The 16,409-nt window shown below is 41.6% G+C and overlaps 1 non-coding gene across 1 annotated transcript; it reads right to left on the reverse strand.

Moving 5' to 3' along the window:
• Positions 1-296: 296 nt before the first annotated feature.
• Positions 297-440, reverse strand: LOC124900241 (small nucleolar RNA SNORA4). Its single transcript, XR_007060656.1, has one exon. It is a non-coding gene; the product is annotated as a small nucleolar RNA SNORA4 (small nucleolar RNA).
• Positions 441-16,409: the final 15,969 nt, after the last annotated feature.

Genomic DNA, 16,409 nt, shown 5'->3' on the forward strand with positions numbered 1-16,409 from the left:
GATCTATGGTGGATAGTTTTCATCAAATTTGGTAATGTTTTGGCCATGATTTCTTTCACTAATTTTTATGTTTCTTTCTTTCTCTTCTCAGTTTCTAGAACTCCAACAGCACAGCTGTTAGAACATTTGCTGTTGTTCCACAGGCCACAGAAGCTTTTCTTCTCCTTCTTCCCCTCCTCCTCCTCTGTCTTCCCTGTTTTTTCCTTTTTACTCTCTGCCTTAGTTTCAATCCTTTCTATTGCTATGACTTCAGGCTCATTGATCTTTATTTCCTTTTTTTTCTTTTTCACTTATGTAATATAAGCTGCAAAATAGTGGTGAACTATACTAAGGGGTATAGCCCTCTGCTGAGTGTGGTCTTTTCTTTATTTTCCAAAACAGCCCACGTAGGTAAAGGTTATTTTAAAAACTTCCACCCCACAAAAAGTAACTTTTGATAGGTCTTTGTTTCTTTAGGGTTTAATTTGCTTTTAATTTTTAAAATCTTAGTGATTTTTGTACTCCATATTTTGTAGTTTTTTCCTTTTAGCTGTTCCATTTGGTTCTTTCTTATATCTTCTATTTCTTTCCTAATTATGTTCATGTTTTCCTTTAAATCTTTGAGTATATTTTTAAAAATTATAATAGCTGTTTTAGGGTTTTTGTTTGCTAATTTCATATTTTTTGGTTATTTCTGGTTCTGTTTCTACTGACTGATTCTAGTACACGTACTTTTGCTACTTCATATGTCCAGTAATTTTTTAACTGAATTCTGCCACCACTTTTAAGTCAGGAACCTTTCAGAGTCTCTCCTGAATGTCCATATATTTCTCAAGATCTGGCTACTCTGGCTGATGGGAACTGAGCACTGTATGAGTTCTGGAAATCTTCTGGCTTGTAGCTCCCTAGTTGTTTCCTCAGTTGTTTTTCTTTGCCTGGCCTCCAGAAATTTCATTTATGTGTGCCTGAATTTTTATTGATACAACAAATTAGGGGGATGTTTGACCTCCACAAAAGTGGACTCTGTCTGTTTAGCTCCCCTCTTCCTGGTACTTTGCTCTGAAAATTCTAGCTACTTTGACTTCCCTGAACTTTAATCTGTTTCTTCTACTCAGCAAGATTGCCAAGCTGTTTTATTTTCCTCCCTGTGCCACAGTCTGAAAATATCCACCATGCAGAAAAACCAAGGTTATTATAAGAATTTACCTTCCTTCTTCTCCTCCCAGCTATCATAGGTTCTGCTTATTGATCAATATCCACAAAATTGTTTCATACATTTTGTCCAGTTTTCTAGTTGTTTATCATGGGAGGGTAAACAGGTATTCCTCAGGTGATGGAATGGAAATCATACTATGTTTGTGCTTATACTATTTGTTAACATGATTCCGATTTCGTAAAAACCTGCCATTAATGTGTTCCCAAGTGACTTAAGAAAGAAAATCTGCTCTAGGGTCATATCCTTCTAGGTTTAAATTTACTGTCAGAGTTAGACTGCATCTTTAACTTGGGATTTAAGAAATAATTCTAAGGTTCACTCTGATTGCGTAGGCTCAGGTCATGGACTTATCTCTAAAGCCATCACCGTGCTACAGGACTGCAATACTTTGATTAACTTAGGGTTGGTCACATGCTGCACTCCTAGTGTGGACTTTCTAGAGTGCGGGGATGGAAGTGGAGCAGGAGAGGAACTCAAAATTAAAATTAAAATATTATGATTAGAAGGGGAAGACATGCTGGGGAGGCAAATGACCAGTATCCACTGCCAGTGTTGAAGGGTGATCCAGGCAGCTCTTGACCAGCTGAATGAGAATTACCATGGAGTTTCCCATATCTTCTGGAAGCCTCAGTTTTCTCATCTGCAAAATAATGGGAACATTGTGCAGATTTCTAGGGTCTCAAACTCTTTCATGTTTCATGGTTGACATCCTTGTTCAGAACCTCCTGAAGCTTTCTTCTTTGTTCTTGAGATTAAGACATGGCCCACAGGGTCCTGCATGTCATGAACATTCCCACTTCTACAGAAAAGCAGTCTGAAATTTGTTCAAAGGGTCGCCTTCTCCCTGTTCATTGCTCTTTAGTCATTACGGCTATCTCACAGAGCCTTCAGAGGCATTAAAGCCTCCCACTTCAGTGTCTCACAAGTGCTTCTCCTGTGTCCAGAACACCCCTCCTATACTTCTCTACCTGCCTAACAAGGGTCAGGTTTCACCTTATGTGTCATTTGTTCAAGAAATCTTTTCTAAAAACTCAGTCCTGGCCATAAGATCCTCTTAAGGAGCTATAATTGCCTTCTAACTTATTTATTCATTAATTTTTGATGCTGCCAGGTTTAGTGTTGCACATTTGCTAGACTGGAAGCTCCATGAGGGAAAGAATGTGTGTGTTTTGTTCACTAGCGTAACCACGGCCTTACAGAGTACATTGCACATACAGGATGCTCAGTGACAATCTCACCCCTGAATGATTGTGAAGCAGCAAACTTGCAGTACGGTGCCATCACTAAGTTCACAGGCTGCTGGCTCAAATTCCAGCAGTGCTATTTAATAGCTGTGTAACTTGGGTAAATTACTTAATCCCTCTGTGCTTTGTTTCCTCATCTATAAAAGGGGGATCATCAGAGTATCTATCTGTTTGTGTGCTGTGGGTATCAAATAAGTGTCTAAGGGTTGAGAACAGTGCCTGCATCCTGTGTGCTGTCAGCTGGTGTAGTCCATTGCAGGTACTTGTTCAACATGAACAATGAGGCTGGAAGTAACCCATGCAACTTCCAGTATCTCACAGCTCCAGCTCTCCATTTCATATCAGTGAGGCCACACTTCAGTGTTTCAGTAATGACTCGTGGCAGGTCCCTGTACTCAACAGTGATCTAAGTGGATCTAAAACCACATGTCCCAGACTTTCATCCAACCCTTATGTTCATCTTTTCACTTACCACGTGTCAACACTGAGCCCCATGACAAACTGGAATGATCATGTCCTCACCTTCAGGTTGCAGTGGTGGACAGGTCAGGGACACAGGCCCTTCTTGTCCATCTACTTGTGGCTAAAGTGAGCAGATGAAGCCCAGGGTTTTCAGGGATACCTGGGGCCCAGGCTCAGTGGCCACCTTACTTTAGCTCTGGCAAAAAGCCTCCTCTACCATTGTTTAATGGTTAGAAATACTTGGGTTCAGAGGCTTTTCCAATGTGCTAGATAGCAAGGGTATAATTAGACATTTCCCAGCTACACGTAGCCGCTTTAATTTTGATGCTGTCTTCATCCTCTCACACATGCTCAGTAACCTGAAAAATTTAGGCGTTCTCATCTCCTTTTCTAATTATTAGGGAGCATTATCATGGTTTGACAGGAATATCTGATTTTATGCATCTTGTCTCTAACAACTGCCAAAAGTTTCTAGTTCACATTCAATTGTAGGCTTCAAAGCCAGGTTTTGATAATACAGGCATTCCATCACATTTGCCTTAAGATTCACGGCACAGCTCAGGCCAGGGTTTGGTAGTGATTGTTAATATAAATCTACTTTAGAGATAGATGCAAGTACAAATTACAGAATGTCAGGGTGCAATTTGATTTTGAATGCTTTTTTTTTGCTATTATAAATAATGAAGGATGCTGAAGATGGTTCAGCATATTCTATTGGATATAATTAAAATCCCAAAGGTTGTGGTTTTTAAAAGCTGCATCTGCCTGTTGCCTGCTGGGATTTAGAGGTGACTGGAAGGTTTCAGGGCTGGGCTTTGTTCTAGTCTCTCTCTTTACTGATTTGTATTTTTATCCTTTTATGTATTTTAGAATAAAACACAAATTAGTTGTTTTAAAAGATAAGGTAAGTTTTAATTTTTATAAAACACTTCTTTGAGCTTCAATATTTACAAAAACAAGCCCTGTCTTTATCCCCCTTTATAGCAGTGCCCACCATAATTTGAAATTCTATTTCCAGCCATGGCCCCACCTCGGCGGCGCCCCTGCCCAACCGAGGTTGGCAGGGCACTGTCCCAGGGATGTGAGGGCGTGGTGTCATCTCATTTCTTGGAGTGCTCATTTGTTCATATCATAAGAATTAGGTGTTTTAAGGCATTAGTGCTATGTGCAATTGAAAATAGTTTCTCCAGCTGCCAGTCTGCTGAGTCCTGCAGACCAGCTGTTTTCCACGACCACAGAATTGAAATTCGACTCTGAGTGGGGACATGTCAGCTGGAGGCTAGCAGCTGTGGAGCAGCACTGAGCCACGTCTGACTCTGGATGTGGTCAAGGCTGAGAGGAGCCCTTGTTTAGCAGTTTTGGAGTGAGGTGGGCTGGCCCAGGAGCCTTCAGGGAAAAGAGCTGCCAACCTGTGCTCTCTGATGGAAACCCTGAGAGAGCAAAGGCAGAATTAAGAATGGGAGGAGGCCAGGCATGCTGGCTCATGCCTGTAATCCCAGCACTTTGGGAGGCCAAGGTGGGCGGATCGTGAGGTCAAGAGATTGAGACCATCCTGGCCAACATGGTGAAACCCTGTCTCTACTAAAAATACAAAAATTAGTTGAGTGTGGTGGCATGTACCTGTAGTCCCAGCTACTCAGGAGGCTGAGGCAGGAGAATCACTTGAACCCGGGAGGTGGAGGTTGCAGTGAGCCGAGATCACGCCACTGCACTCCAACCTGGCGACAGAGCGAGTCTCCATCTCAAACAAAACAAAACAAAACAAAACAAAAAGAAACAATGGGTGGAGTCCCAGGAGAGTCCAAGGAGGCTCTTGGCCCAAAAATGTCTCATAGATATTGTCCATTTTATAGAATACATTAGCAAAAAAATTGCATGTAAATCATACCATTATTCAGGAATCTATCTAATAATACTTGGTAAACTTGTCATTTTTTTTTTTTGACACAGGTTCTCACTCTGTTGTCCAGGCTGGAGTGCAGTGGCATGATCTCGGCTCACTGCAAGCTCTGCCTCCTGGGTTCACTCCATTCTTCTGCCTCAGCCTCCTGAGTAGCTGGGACTTCAGGTGCCCACCACCATGCCCAGCTAATTTTTTTTTTTGTTGTATTTTTAGTAGAGACAGGGTTTCACTGTGTTAGCCAGGATGGTCTCGATCTCCTGACCTCGTGATCTGCCCGCCTCGGCCTCCCAAAGTGCTGCGATTACAGGTGTGAGCCACTGCACCCGGCCAACTTGCCCCTTTTAAAGAAAACATTTTTAAAAATCTCCCTGAATTTGCCCACCATCAATTTAGATTTGCTGCAGAATTTGGTCCCAGGGAATGGCATAGTAAGGATGGCTGAGTGGGAGTTCCAAATTTCTCCATCTTTTGGTCCTGCCTCACTTCTATTTCTATATGTGAGGTTTGCAGAGAGAGAGAGCAATCGCATGTCTAGGCTCTCTGAGACCCCTCTCTCTTCCTAGTGGAAGTGTAAATTTGGTCAGGAGCAGGTGGGTGCACAGAGGAGGTCCATGGGCAGACAGGTGGGGGTTAGGAGCAGCAGTTGGAAAGAGAGGCCTCATTAGGCACCCTGGATGCTGAAGGGGTGCGAGAGTGGGAGGGGCTTGGAGCCCCTGTGCTCCCCGCAGGCTTCAGCAGGGCTCTATGTTGAGGAATTTTGTCTCTGAGAAACCTGCTGATTCCTGCCAATCGCCACCCCTTCTTATTTCAGGATTCTTTGGCCTCTCTCCTCTTGTTGTTTTATGGACAGTGTGCCTCCAGATTAGTAACCAGTTCAGGGATGCCTGCTTCCTCCCCTGACAAAGAGAAGCCTTCAAGGCATTTGTGGCTTTTGAAATAGCAAAGACACAAAACGTTCGGCTGTTATTTTATCTTTGGAGTCAAGAATGTGGGCACGTGTTTTGCAGCTGTGAACTCTGGCACACGCAAGGGGAAGGTTTGAATTATGGGGACTGCAGCTCCCTGTCTTCAAGTAGGGGACAGAGAGGGAGGCACGTGGCTGTGCCTTCTGGATCTGCTGCACCTAGAGTCTGGGCCCTTTTGCTTTGACTTTAGTTATGGGCCTGCCACATTCTTCTTTCTGGACTCACTGTGAAGCCTAGCAGTGTCAGGCCTCAGAAAGATGTGCTGACCACGATGCCAGGGACCCCCCACCTCCCCACCGTTTCCTCTCTTCATCCACAGATATGGTGGCATGGTTCTGGGCCCTGGTGCCTCCACCAGGAAAGCAGAGAGATGATGTTCAAGCCTCCTGTGCACAGGAGATAGCTGGTGCGATAGAGGAGAGGCTGAGTCTTGGGGGCTGTTCCACACAGCCGGCTTCGGCAAGGTGCAGCCTCCCCTTCTGCAGAGCAAGGATGTCGATGGTTTTTAAATGGGCCATAGGTGGATCTAGATGCTTGGCCAGGTGACTGGCAAGTGAGGGTACTGATTGGCTGTTGACTCGCCTACTCTGATTTATTCGGCAGCTACCATTGTGTGCTTATTCTGGGTCAGGCACCAGGAAGACAACAATGAGCAAGACAGTCTCCTGAACAAACACTCCCGTGAGGCATTTCAGGGGTGGTGAGTTCTACAAAGAACACAGCGCAGGGGGATGGGATAAGAGTGGCTGGGCTGGGGTGTGGGCCACCCTGGTGATCTTGGGGAGGGCAGTGGGACCTCCCCTTCTCAGTGAGACTGGAGAAGAGGTCCCATCTACACTCACACCTTCCCCATCATCTAATGCAGGAAAAATCCTAGAATGCCAGCCAGGGTATGGTCACGTGACAGGAGATTGGCCAGTCAGGTTCTCCTGATGAGGATTTGACTGTGGAAGAAACAGCAGTTAGGAAATTATGTTTGGAAGTGAGGGGAACCCCAAACCTTATTCTCCAGCTTTCCCGAATGCAATGGGAGCTCCCTGGGAGCTTAGGCTCAGGCTAGCCAGAGCGGTATGTATCTGTATTTGGCAATACATGACACTCACTGATGAAAAATTATTAAGAAATTTTTCTTAGGTGGAAAAAGGCATAATGTAGAAAAACATGAGCACTAAAATTGTAGACAATTTCAGCAATACTCCCAAGCTAAGTGGGGTGGGAAAAGGGAAAAGTGTGATAAGATTCTTATGTTTCTTGGAGAGTAGAGGAAATAATCAACTATGATCAATTCTTGATGTGGAACAAAATGTGTGGTCTTAGGTTTGTGAAAATATTAGAAGTAAACATAAAACAAAGGGAGACACAAATGTGGTGTGAAAACAGTCTAATGATGTGCTCTTTATAAGACAAATATCAAAATTAAATTACACAGAAAGGTTAAAAATGGGGATGGGCAAAGATATAAAAGCAAATGTTTTAGAAAATGAAGCTTAAAGTTATATAACCATAAAAGTAGAATCTAGGCAAAAAACATTACATGGATCAAAGAGGTATATTTTCTATTGATGAAAGTGATATTCCTCCAAATATATAAAACTTTAATCACCCAACACAATGACATTGAAATCTAGTAACTCAAAAGCTGTTAGATAAAAATAAGTAAAAATACAGAATTTTAAATTTTATATCTACAATCTGAACTATCTAATCAGGAAAAAATATAAATTTTATATTTTTATCACATGTATTTTTAGAACATAATACAACAGAGAAAGAGTTTACCCATGGGATATTTATAGAAACTTACCATGCCACAAAGAAAAGCTTAATATACCCTCCAAAGGGCAGAAATCAAAACTATAAAATAATGAAGACAAGTTAGCTAATGGTTTAACTAAAGAAGCTATGAAAATGAACAACAAAATAAAACAAAGCCAAAAGTACATATGTAATGAAATGGAACAGTCAAATTATGGTAGGCTTGATCAAGAAAGCCATAATTAGGTTCTTTGAAAAGATCAATAAAATAGAAAAATCCTTGACAAGTCTAATAATAAAGTTGAAGGAAGGAGGGAGAGAAAGAGAAACAGAGGGAGAGAGAAAGAAAAAGAAAGACACATAGATAGAACCACAAATGGTGAATGTCAGGTATAAGAAAGGAGTTTTAGGTCAGGGGGCAGCAAAAATTTTTTGTAAAGAACCAGAGTAAACATATCTGGCTTTGTGGGCCACATACAGTCAATGTTTCAACTACTGAACTCTGCCAGTGTAGCTCTAGAACTGCCATAATCATTAGTAAATGCACAGGCGTGGCTATATTCCAATAAAACTTTATTTACAAAAGCAGATGATCTACTAGATTTGGTTGAGGGCCATAGTTTGCTGATCCTTTTTTTGGGTTTGGGGCAGGGGAGCATCTGGTCAAGATGGCTCAGTAAAATATACGCTTTGCCACAACCCATTGTGTTCCAAATTTCTAGTAAGGATAGATGAAATGTAAAAAGAGAAAACTAAAACATTCAAATTCAAAACAAGATAAATATTTTCATGAACCAGAAAAATAGACAAAACCCCAGACAGAGAATTGCAAAGCATGGCAGTGCTGAGCAGGGCTGTGGTGGAGGGTGGACAGCTCGTTGGGTCTGAGAGTGGGCTGATGTGGCTGGAAATTCAGGAAATCCCTGCAGGGAGCTAGACTTGCTCCACCAGAGATGAGGTCTGAAGTGACCTCTCTTATTAAGGAGAAAATTATGAGACCTCTGCTACATGCTGGACTGTTGTTCCTTCTCAAAGAGGTTGACACATGCCAGGGCCTTCTTGAAAATTGGGGCTATTTTTGGTTGTCATGATTGGGGAAGCCCCTCTAGTCTTTAAGTAGAGGAGCAAGTAATACTAGACCTTCTGCCACCCACAGATCGGCAAAATTGATCTGTTCTGAATGTCCCAACAGACTAAATTTATTATACCTAGAAATTGATGATATTTTAGAATATGATAATACAGAAAAGTTTTTATAAGATAAAATTTCCATCGATGTTGTAGAAGATTGTTAGGAAAAGAGAAGCTTATGTGGGAACAAAAAAGTATTGTCAATTTTTTTTGTTAAGTGGCTTAAAACTACACAGTTATTTTCTCTTATTTTCCATGGGTCAAGAGTCCAGGTACCATGTGGCTGAGTCTTCTGCTCACAATCTAATTAGTCAGCAATCTAGGAGGTGATTGGATTGCTTTCCTTTCCAGAGTCTGTGGTCCTCTTCCCAGCTCATACGGTCATTGGAAAAATTCAAATTCAGTTTCTTGCTGTTGTAGGACTGAGATCCCTGTTTTCTTGCTCAGTGTTAACCAGGGCCTGTTCTTGACTCGTAGAGGTTGGCTGTATCCTCGCTCACTCACAACATGACAGCTTAGTTCTTCAAGACCTGCAAAAGTATCTCTCCATCTATTCATTTTTTAAAAAATAAATATGTTGTCTGTAATCCTGTGATCCCAGCTACTCTGGAGGCTGTATTTGCTTTCAGCTGTGGAAGGAAAAGAGCATGTGTGCTCACCCTCCTTGCTGTTCCATGCCATACCATCACTTAGGGAGTGACTTCCACACTTTCTCCTAACAAGGCCCAGCCCATTCGTGAGAATATCATGGTGCTCCTCTCTTTTTCACTTTGACTGTCTGTAGTTTGTCTTGATGTGTTCTCACCAGTGTAATTAAAATAATTTCCTCCTTTTCTCCATCCATACAAACAAATGTGCTCTGTTATTACTTATCCTGTCGATTATTTTTAATCTGTGTCCATCCTATCTCCACTGTTTCCTTTTCTTGTGCTTCTTGTGCAGAAATGGCTTATAATTTTTAAACTTTTTCTCAAACATTTTGTTCTGCCCATCCTTTCACTGCTTTTCTTCAATACTCCAAGATATTGTCCCAGAAGTCCCTAAGGCTGTGTTCATTTTCTTTTCAATCTTTTCTTCCTCTCTGATGTTCAGGCTGAATAATTTCTATTAATCTATTTAAAAGTTACATGACTTTTTTTGGGTAATTTCTTATTCTGCTGTAAAGTTTATCCCATGTTTACTTTTATTTCAAATATTATATTTTTTCATTTTAGAATTTCTATTTTTACAATTAATTTCTATTTCTCTGCTGTGATTTCATATCAGTCAATTAATTATAATCATATTTTCATTTAGGTAATTGAGGAGAGTTATAATAACTAATACCTTTACCCACTTATTCCAGTATCTAGGTCGTCCTGAGCTGCTCTCTGCTGATTGTCTTTTCTCTCTTATTCTTTAGATGTTGAGTAATTTTGTATCATAGCTTGGACATTGTGAATGTTATGTTGAATTTTATTACATATAAGACCCTGAATTTTCTTATATCCCTTCAAAGACTTGACTTTTGTTTAGAAGGTAAATAACTTCGTTAAATTCAACCTGCAAACTATCTCTTGTGAAGCAACTCACATCTCAGGTCTGTTCTTTCAGACCTGGCTGAACTCCTTGAAGTCTGTCCTGAACATGTGCTTCAAGGGTCAGCCAGAGACTTGGCCAGAACAGGGTTTGCGGCTCCCTTTCTCTGGCTCTCTCCTTTCTGACATACCCTCTCACTTTCCAACGGCCCTGGTTGTCCTGAATTTTACCCTCTGGTTCTTCCTTAGAAAGCTGGCACGGGCCAGGCATGGTGGCTCACGCCTTTTTCCCAACACTTTGGGAGGCCAAGGAGGGCAGATCATGAGGTTAGGCGTTCGAGACCAGCCTGGCCAACGTGTTGAAACCCAGTCTCTACTAAAGATACCAAAAAATTAGCTGGGCGTAGTGGCGTGTGCCTGTAATCCCAGCTACTCTGGAGGCTGAGGCAGGAGAATAGCTTGAATCCAGGAGTCAGAGGCTGCAGTGAGCCAAGATCACACCATTGCACTCCAGCCTGGGCAACAGGGTGAGACTCCATCTCAAAAAAAACAAAAACAAAAAACAAAACAAAACAAAAAAACAAGGAAAGCTGGCATGAAGGTTTTCTACTGGAGTTTTAGCCATTCTGTGGCATGTAGACAGGGGCTGCCCTCAGGCTAGAAGTTGTGGAACTAAGACATTCAGATTATGAGAGCAAGATGGCAGACTGGAAAGCCCTACTGCTTGTCTTGTGCACAAAAACAACTAAAACAATGAATAAGCAATTACTTTTTGATGAAAATAATGGGAGGAGAGCACCAGAGTACATCAAAGGAGTGACAGAAACCCTGGTGAGAGCACAGAAACTCAGAATGGAGAATGGAAGGACACACCCAGCCTTCAGCACCCATGCCCCATCTGGGATCATCTGGGACCCAGAAGTATCTTCTCCCTGCAGGGAAAAAGTAAGCAAGAGGATCCCAGCAAACCCCGTCAACACCCTGAATGTTATATTAGTTTGTTCTTGCATTGCTATAAAGAAATACCTGAGACTGGGTCATTTATAAGAAAAGAGGTTTAATTAGCTCATGGTTCTGCAGGCTACACAAGCATGGTGCCAGCATCTGCTCAACTTCTGGGAAGGCCTCAGGGAGCTTTTAGTCATGGCCAAAGGTGAAGCTGGAGCTTGTATGTCACATGGCGAAAGAAGGAGCAAGAGAGAGGTGGGGGGAGGTGCCATGCTTTTTAACAACCAGATGGTGTGAGAACTCACTATCATGAGGACAGCACCAAGCCATGAGGGATCTGTCCTCATGACTCAAACACCTCCCGCAAGGCCCCACCTCCAACATCAGGGCTTACATTTCCACATGAGATTTGGGCAGGGACAACATCCAAACTGTATCAGATATCTACAGCTCTCACCACTACGGGCACTAAGCTCAGCTGAGGGAGCTGCCTGGAGTCCACACAGCTGTGCTCCTCCCAGAGAAGGAGCCAACACTGCCCATCCCCTGTGTCCCATGCAGCTACTGTGCTACACCATCTTGGCAACGGAACTGCTGCTGGAGGATGTCTTGCTCCAGCTGTGAGTGACCATGGCACCCTTTCATCCCTGAGGCCAAGGTGCCACTGAAGCACCTCTGTTGGTGGCCCAACATCCCCAAGCTGAGCTGCAAGCAGCAATTACACCCTTCCCTGTGAGGCCGAGCAGTGGTAGAGCTGCTCCACCTCACCCTCCCAGTCATGAATGCACCCTAACCCCTCAGGCTGGAGCTGAAGGTGCACACTCCCATTGCACCTGGGCACTGGAGCTAAAGCTGAACACTGCCTCCAGAGGAAACAGTGCCCTGGCGGAGCTGCTCCGAAAACCTCTCCAAGTTGCAGCTGTGTCCTGCCCCATGGGACTCAAGCTGAAACCTCCAAGGGTACTATTTGGTGATCCCCACATACCCCTAGTAGACACTGCTGTACCTTGCCCTCCCGTGCTCGAGCTGAAGCGATACTTAGTGTCTTGGGGAAACGGTGCTGTGGCTGCCTATACCTCTCTGTGCCTGAGCCGAAGTGGTACCCTGCCTCCAAGGAAAATAACTTGGCCACCCAGAGCAGTCATGCCTCCCTGGAGCCTAGGGTGAAGCAGTGCTCTGCCTCTCAGGAAATTGTGTCTTGGCCACCCAAAGTGGTCATGCACCACAATACCAAAGCTGAATCAGTGCACCATATCCCAGGGAAATGGGCCTGGGCAGCCCAGAGCAGTCATACCCCACAGGCTTCAGCTGAAACAGTGCATTGCCCCATAGGGAATTGGTTCCCTTGGCTGAGCTAAGCAGCTGCATATCCCAAGGCTGAGCTGATGGAGTACCCTATGTCCCAGAGAAACAGAGCAGTGGCTCAGCTGAGACCCTTGCCCTATAGCCAAACCATTCAAGTACCCTACTTTCCTGGAGCTGGACTCACCCCCTAAAGTTTGAGCTGCTGAGACACCCTTCTTCCTGGGGAGTACTCATAGCTGCGTTAGTCCTTTCTCTGCAGGGCCCAAACGACATCTGTGCTCTCATTTTGGGGTCCTTGCTACTGCTGCACCTGGCCTCAAAGAGTCTGGGTCACTGCCAAGTCCCACCATCCCAGAGTCTACCATTGCCACTCCAGCAAGCCTCATTTCCTGTGACCCAAGTTGCCACTAACTTCTATGGGCTCAGGTTCCTAAATTGCAAGCATCCTCTGCTCTCTGGGCCTAAATCTCCAGGCACCTCTTCCTCCCCAGAGCCATGTCAGTGCTGTGTCCTGCCCCCAGGGTCAGAATCTGAGCTATAACCGAGCTTCCTGGTCCTGAGCTGCTAGGGAGTGCCTCCACATCACAGATCCTATGATGTTCTAGGCAACCCACATCCAACTTTGCCACAGAGAGTAAACCTGCTCTCCAAGACTCAGGTGCCACAATAGATTCACAAAACCCAGAGCATAGGATGCTGATGCCATAATCACTTCACGCACGTGCACCTGGAACTCAGAGCCACTACAGCTGCTTGTAGGACAAGTTAGATTTGATGCAAAGATGGATCTCCTTGGCTAAGTCCCCATTGTGGGAAAAATAAGAATAGGAGGACCACAAAAGCCATGACATTAAGAACCTCAACAACCTATGCTACCACCACTGCTGCCACAAACCTCTACAGCCTAGGCCACTGAGGCACCCACAGTTATTGTTGACCTTGAGCATAGCCAACAAATCTGCACAAATACTATACCACTGCACCTACTTGAAAACAGAGTCAGCACAACCTTCTCAATTGGCACACTAAGACCTAATTGCAGGTGAAAGTGTTTCTCTATGAAAGCCACTCTAGAAATTTTAGAATTTCAGTTATTTCACCAGGTGCACAGACATCAATGAAGGGACATAGAAACTTGAAAAGGCGAGGAAATATGACATCACCAAAGGAATATAATAACTCTCTAGTAACAAACCCCAATTAAAAGGAAATCAATGCAATTCCAGAAAAGAAATTCAAAATAATGATCTTAAGGAAACTCAAGATGCAAAACAATACAGATAGGTAACTCAATGATATCAGGAAAACAATTTATGATATGAATGAGAAATTCAACAAACAAATAGAAATCATAGAAAAGCACCAAATAGAAATCTTGCAGCTGAATAATTCAATTAATGAAATAAAAAAAATACAATAGAGCACTCCAATAGCATACTTGATCAAACAGAAGAAATAATCTCTGAACTTGAAGATAGGTAGTTTGAAAGTGCCTAGTCAGGTAAAAGAAAAGCAAAACAGTGAAGAAAGCCTACAAGACTTACAAGATACCATTAAATAAACATCAAAAAAACCAAAATATGATATGGGAGTTTCAGAAGGATAAAATAAGAAAAAATACATAGAAAACCTATTTAATAAAGTAATAGCTAAAAACTTTCCAAATCTTGGGAGAGATGTGGTCTAGATCCAGAAAAAGGAAAAATCCTCAAGTGGATCAACCCAAAAATGTCCTTCCTGAGGCATATTATGGTCAAATTGTCAAGTCAAAGACAAGAAAATTCTAAAAATAGCAAGAGAAAAGTGTCAAGTCACATACAAGGGAATAATTATTAGACTAACAGAAGAGTTATTTGCAGAAACCTTACAAGCCAGGAGAAAATGAGATAATCAAAGTGATGAAAGAAAAAAAATTGTCAGCCAAGAATACTGCTATACTTGGCAAAGCTGTGCTTCAGAAATGAGGAAGAAATAGTTTTTCACAGACAAAAACTGAGGGAATTCATCACCACTAAACAGGATTTACAAGAAATTCTCAAGAGAATCCTACAACTAGAAGCAAAAAGATGATAATCATTACCATGAAAACATGTACAAGTATAAAACTCATTGTTAGAGCAGTTACACAAAGAGAAAAAGAATCAAGCCATATATTACTACCATCAAGCCACATTACTCCTATAAAACCACCAAACCACAATGATGAACATTAAGAGAGAAGAAACAAAGCATTTACAAAACAAGCAGAAAATAATTAACAAAATGACAGTATTAGGTCCTCACCTATCGTAATAACCTTGAATATAAATGGATAAATTCCTTACTTAAAAGATATAGACTGGATGAATGGATTTTTAAAAATTACCCAACTATATGCTGCCTAAAAGAAATGTCAGCTGAAAAGACACATAGACTAAAAGTGAAGGGATGCAAAAGGATATTCCATGCAAACAGAAGCCAATAGCAAGCAGGAGTAGTTGTATGTACATCAAATAAAACACTTTAAATTAAAAACTGTAAAAAGAGACAAAGATGGTCATTGCACTATGATCAAGATTCATTCAGCAAGAGGCTACAACAATTGTAAATATATATGCACCTAATAGCAGTGCACCCAGATATATAAAGCAAATATTACTAGATCTAAAGGCAGAGATACACTCCAATAAAATAAGAGCTGGAGACTTGAACACCCCACTCTCAGCATCAGACAGGTGACAGAAAGTCAACAAAGAAACGTTGGATTTAAACTGCATTGTAGACAAAATGGACCGAACAGACAATTACAAACATTTCATTCAACAACTGCAAAATGTGGTCTATCTTTCATCAGGATTGACCACATGGTAGGCCACAAAAGAAGTCTCAACACATTTAAGAGAATTGAAATCATATTGAGTGTCTTTTCTGACTGCAATGGACTAAAACTAGAAATCAATGAGAGGTACTTTGGAAAATGTACAAATATATGGAATTTAAACAACATGTTCCTGAACACCAAATGGGTCAATGAAGAAATTAAGAAAGAAATTTTTAAAAATTATTATAAATGAAAATAGAAACACAATTTACCAAAACTTTGGAGATACAATAGAAGCAGTATTAAGAGGGAAGATTAGAATAATAAACTCCTACATCAACAAAAGTAGAACGATTTCAAATAAACAACCTAATGATACATCTCAAGGAACTAGAGAAAAGCAAGAACAAACTAAACCCCAAATTAGTAGAAGGAAACAAATAATACAGATCAGAGAAGAAATAAATGAAATTGAGACTAAAAGCAAAACAAAAGATCAATGACACAAAAAGTTGTGTTTTTTTTGGAAAAATAAAACCAACAAATCACTAGCTAGAATAACCAAGAAAAAAGAGAAAATACCCAAATAAATAAAACTAGAAATGAAAAAGGAGCAATTACACCTGATACCACAGAAATATAAAGGCTCATTAGAGACTGTTATGAACAATTATTTGCTAATGAATTTAAAAACCTAGATGAAATGGATAAATGTCTGGTTACATACAACCTACGAAGCTTGAACCAAGAAGAAATAAAGAACTTAAACAGACCAATTGTGAGTAATCAGAGAGAATATATAATATAAAGTCTCACATTAAAAAAAGTCCAGGAGTGAGGGCATCACAATTCCTGACTTCAAACTATATTGTAAGACTGTAATAACCAAAACAGCATGGTATTGGTACAAAAACAGACATATAAGCCAATGGAACAGAATAGAAAACTCAGAAATAAAGCTGCATGTACATGTTTTTTTAATTACATTTATTTGTAAATTGCATTACTGATGAATTATATTTTAGGACAGTAGAGTGGCAATTTAAAATAGTTATTTAACAATGGGGTGGTTTATGTGATAGGTTTGAGAAAGTTGACTTATGAAGCTGTATGCCTATTAATAATGAAGAACACACACATAAAACACACACACGGGAATAACCAAGAAACTTGTCATCTAGCTC

This window comes from Homo sapiens, chromosome 7 (genome assembly GCF_000001405.40).
Source record: "Homo sapiens chromosome 7, GRCh38.p14 Primary Assembly".
NCBI classification, from domain to species: domain Eukaryota; kingdom Metazoa; phylum Chordata; class Mammalia; order Primates; family Hominidae; genus Homo; species Homo sapiens.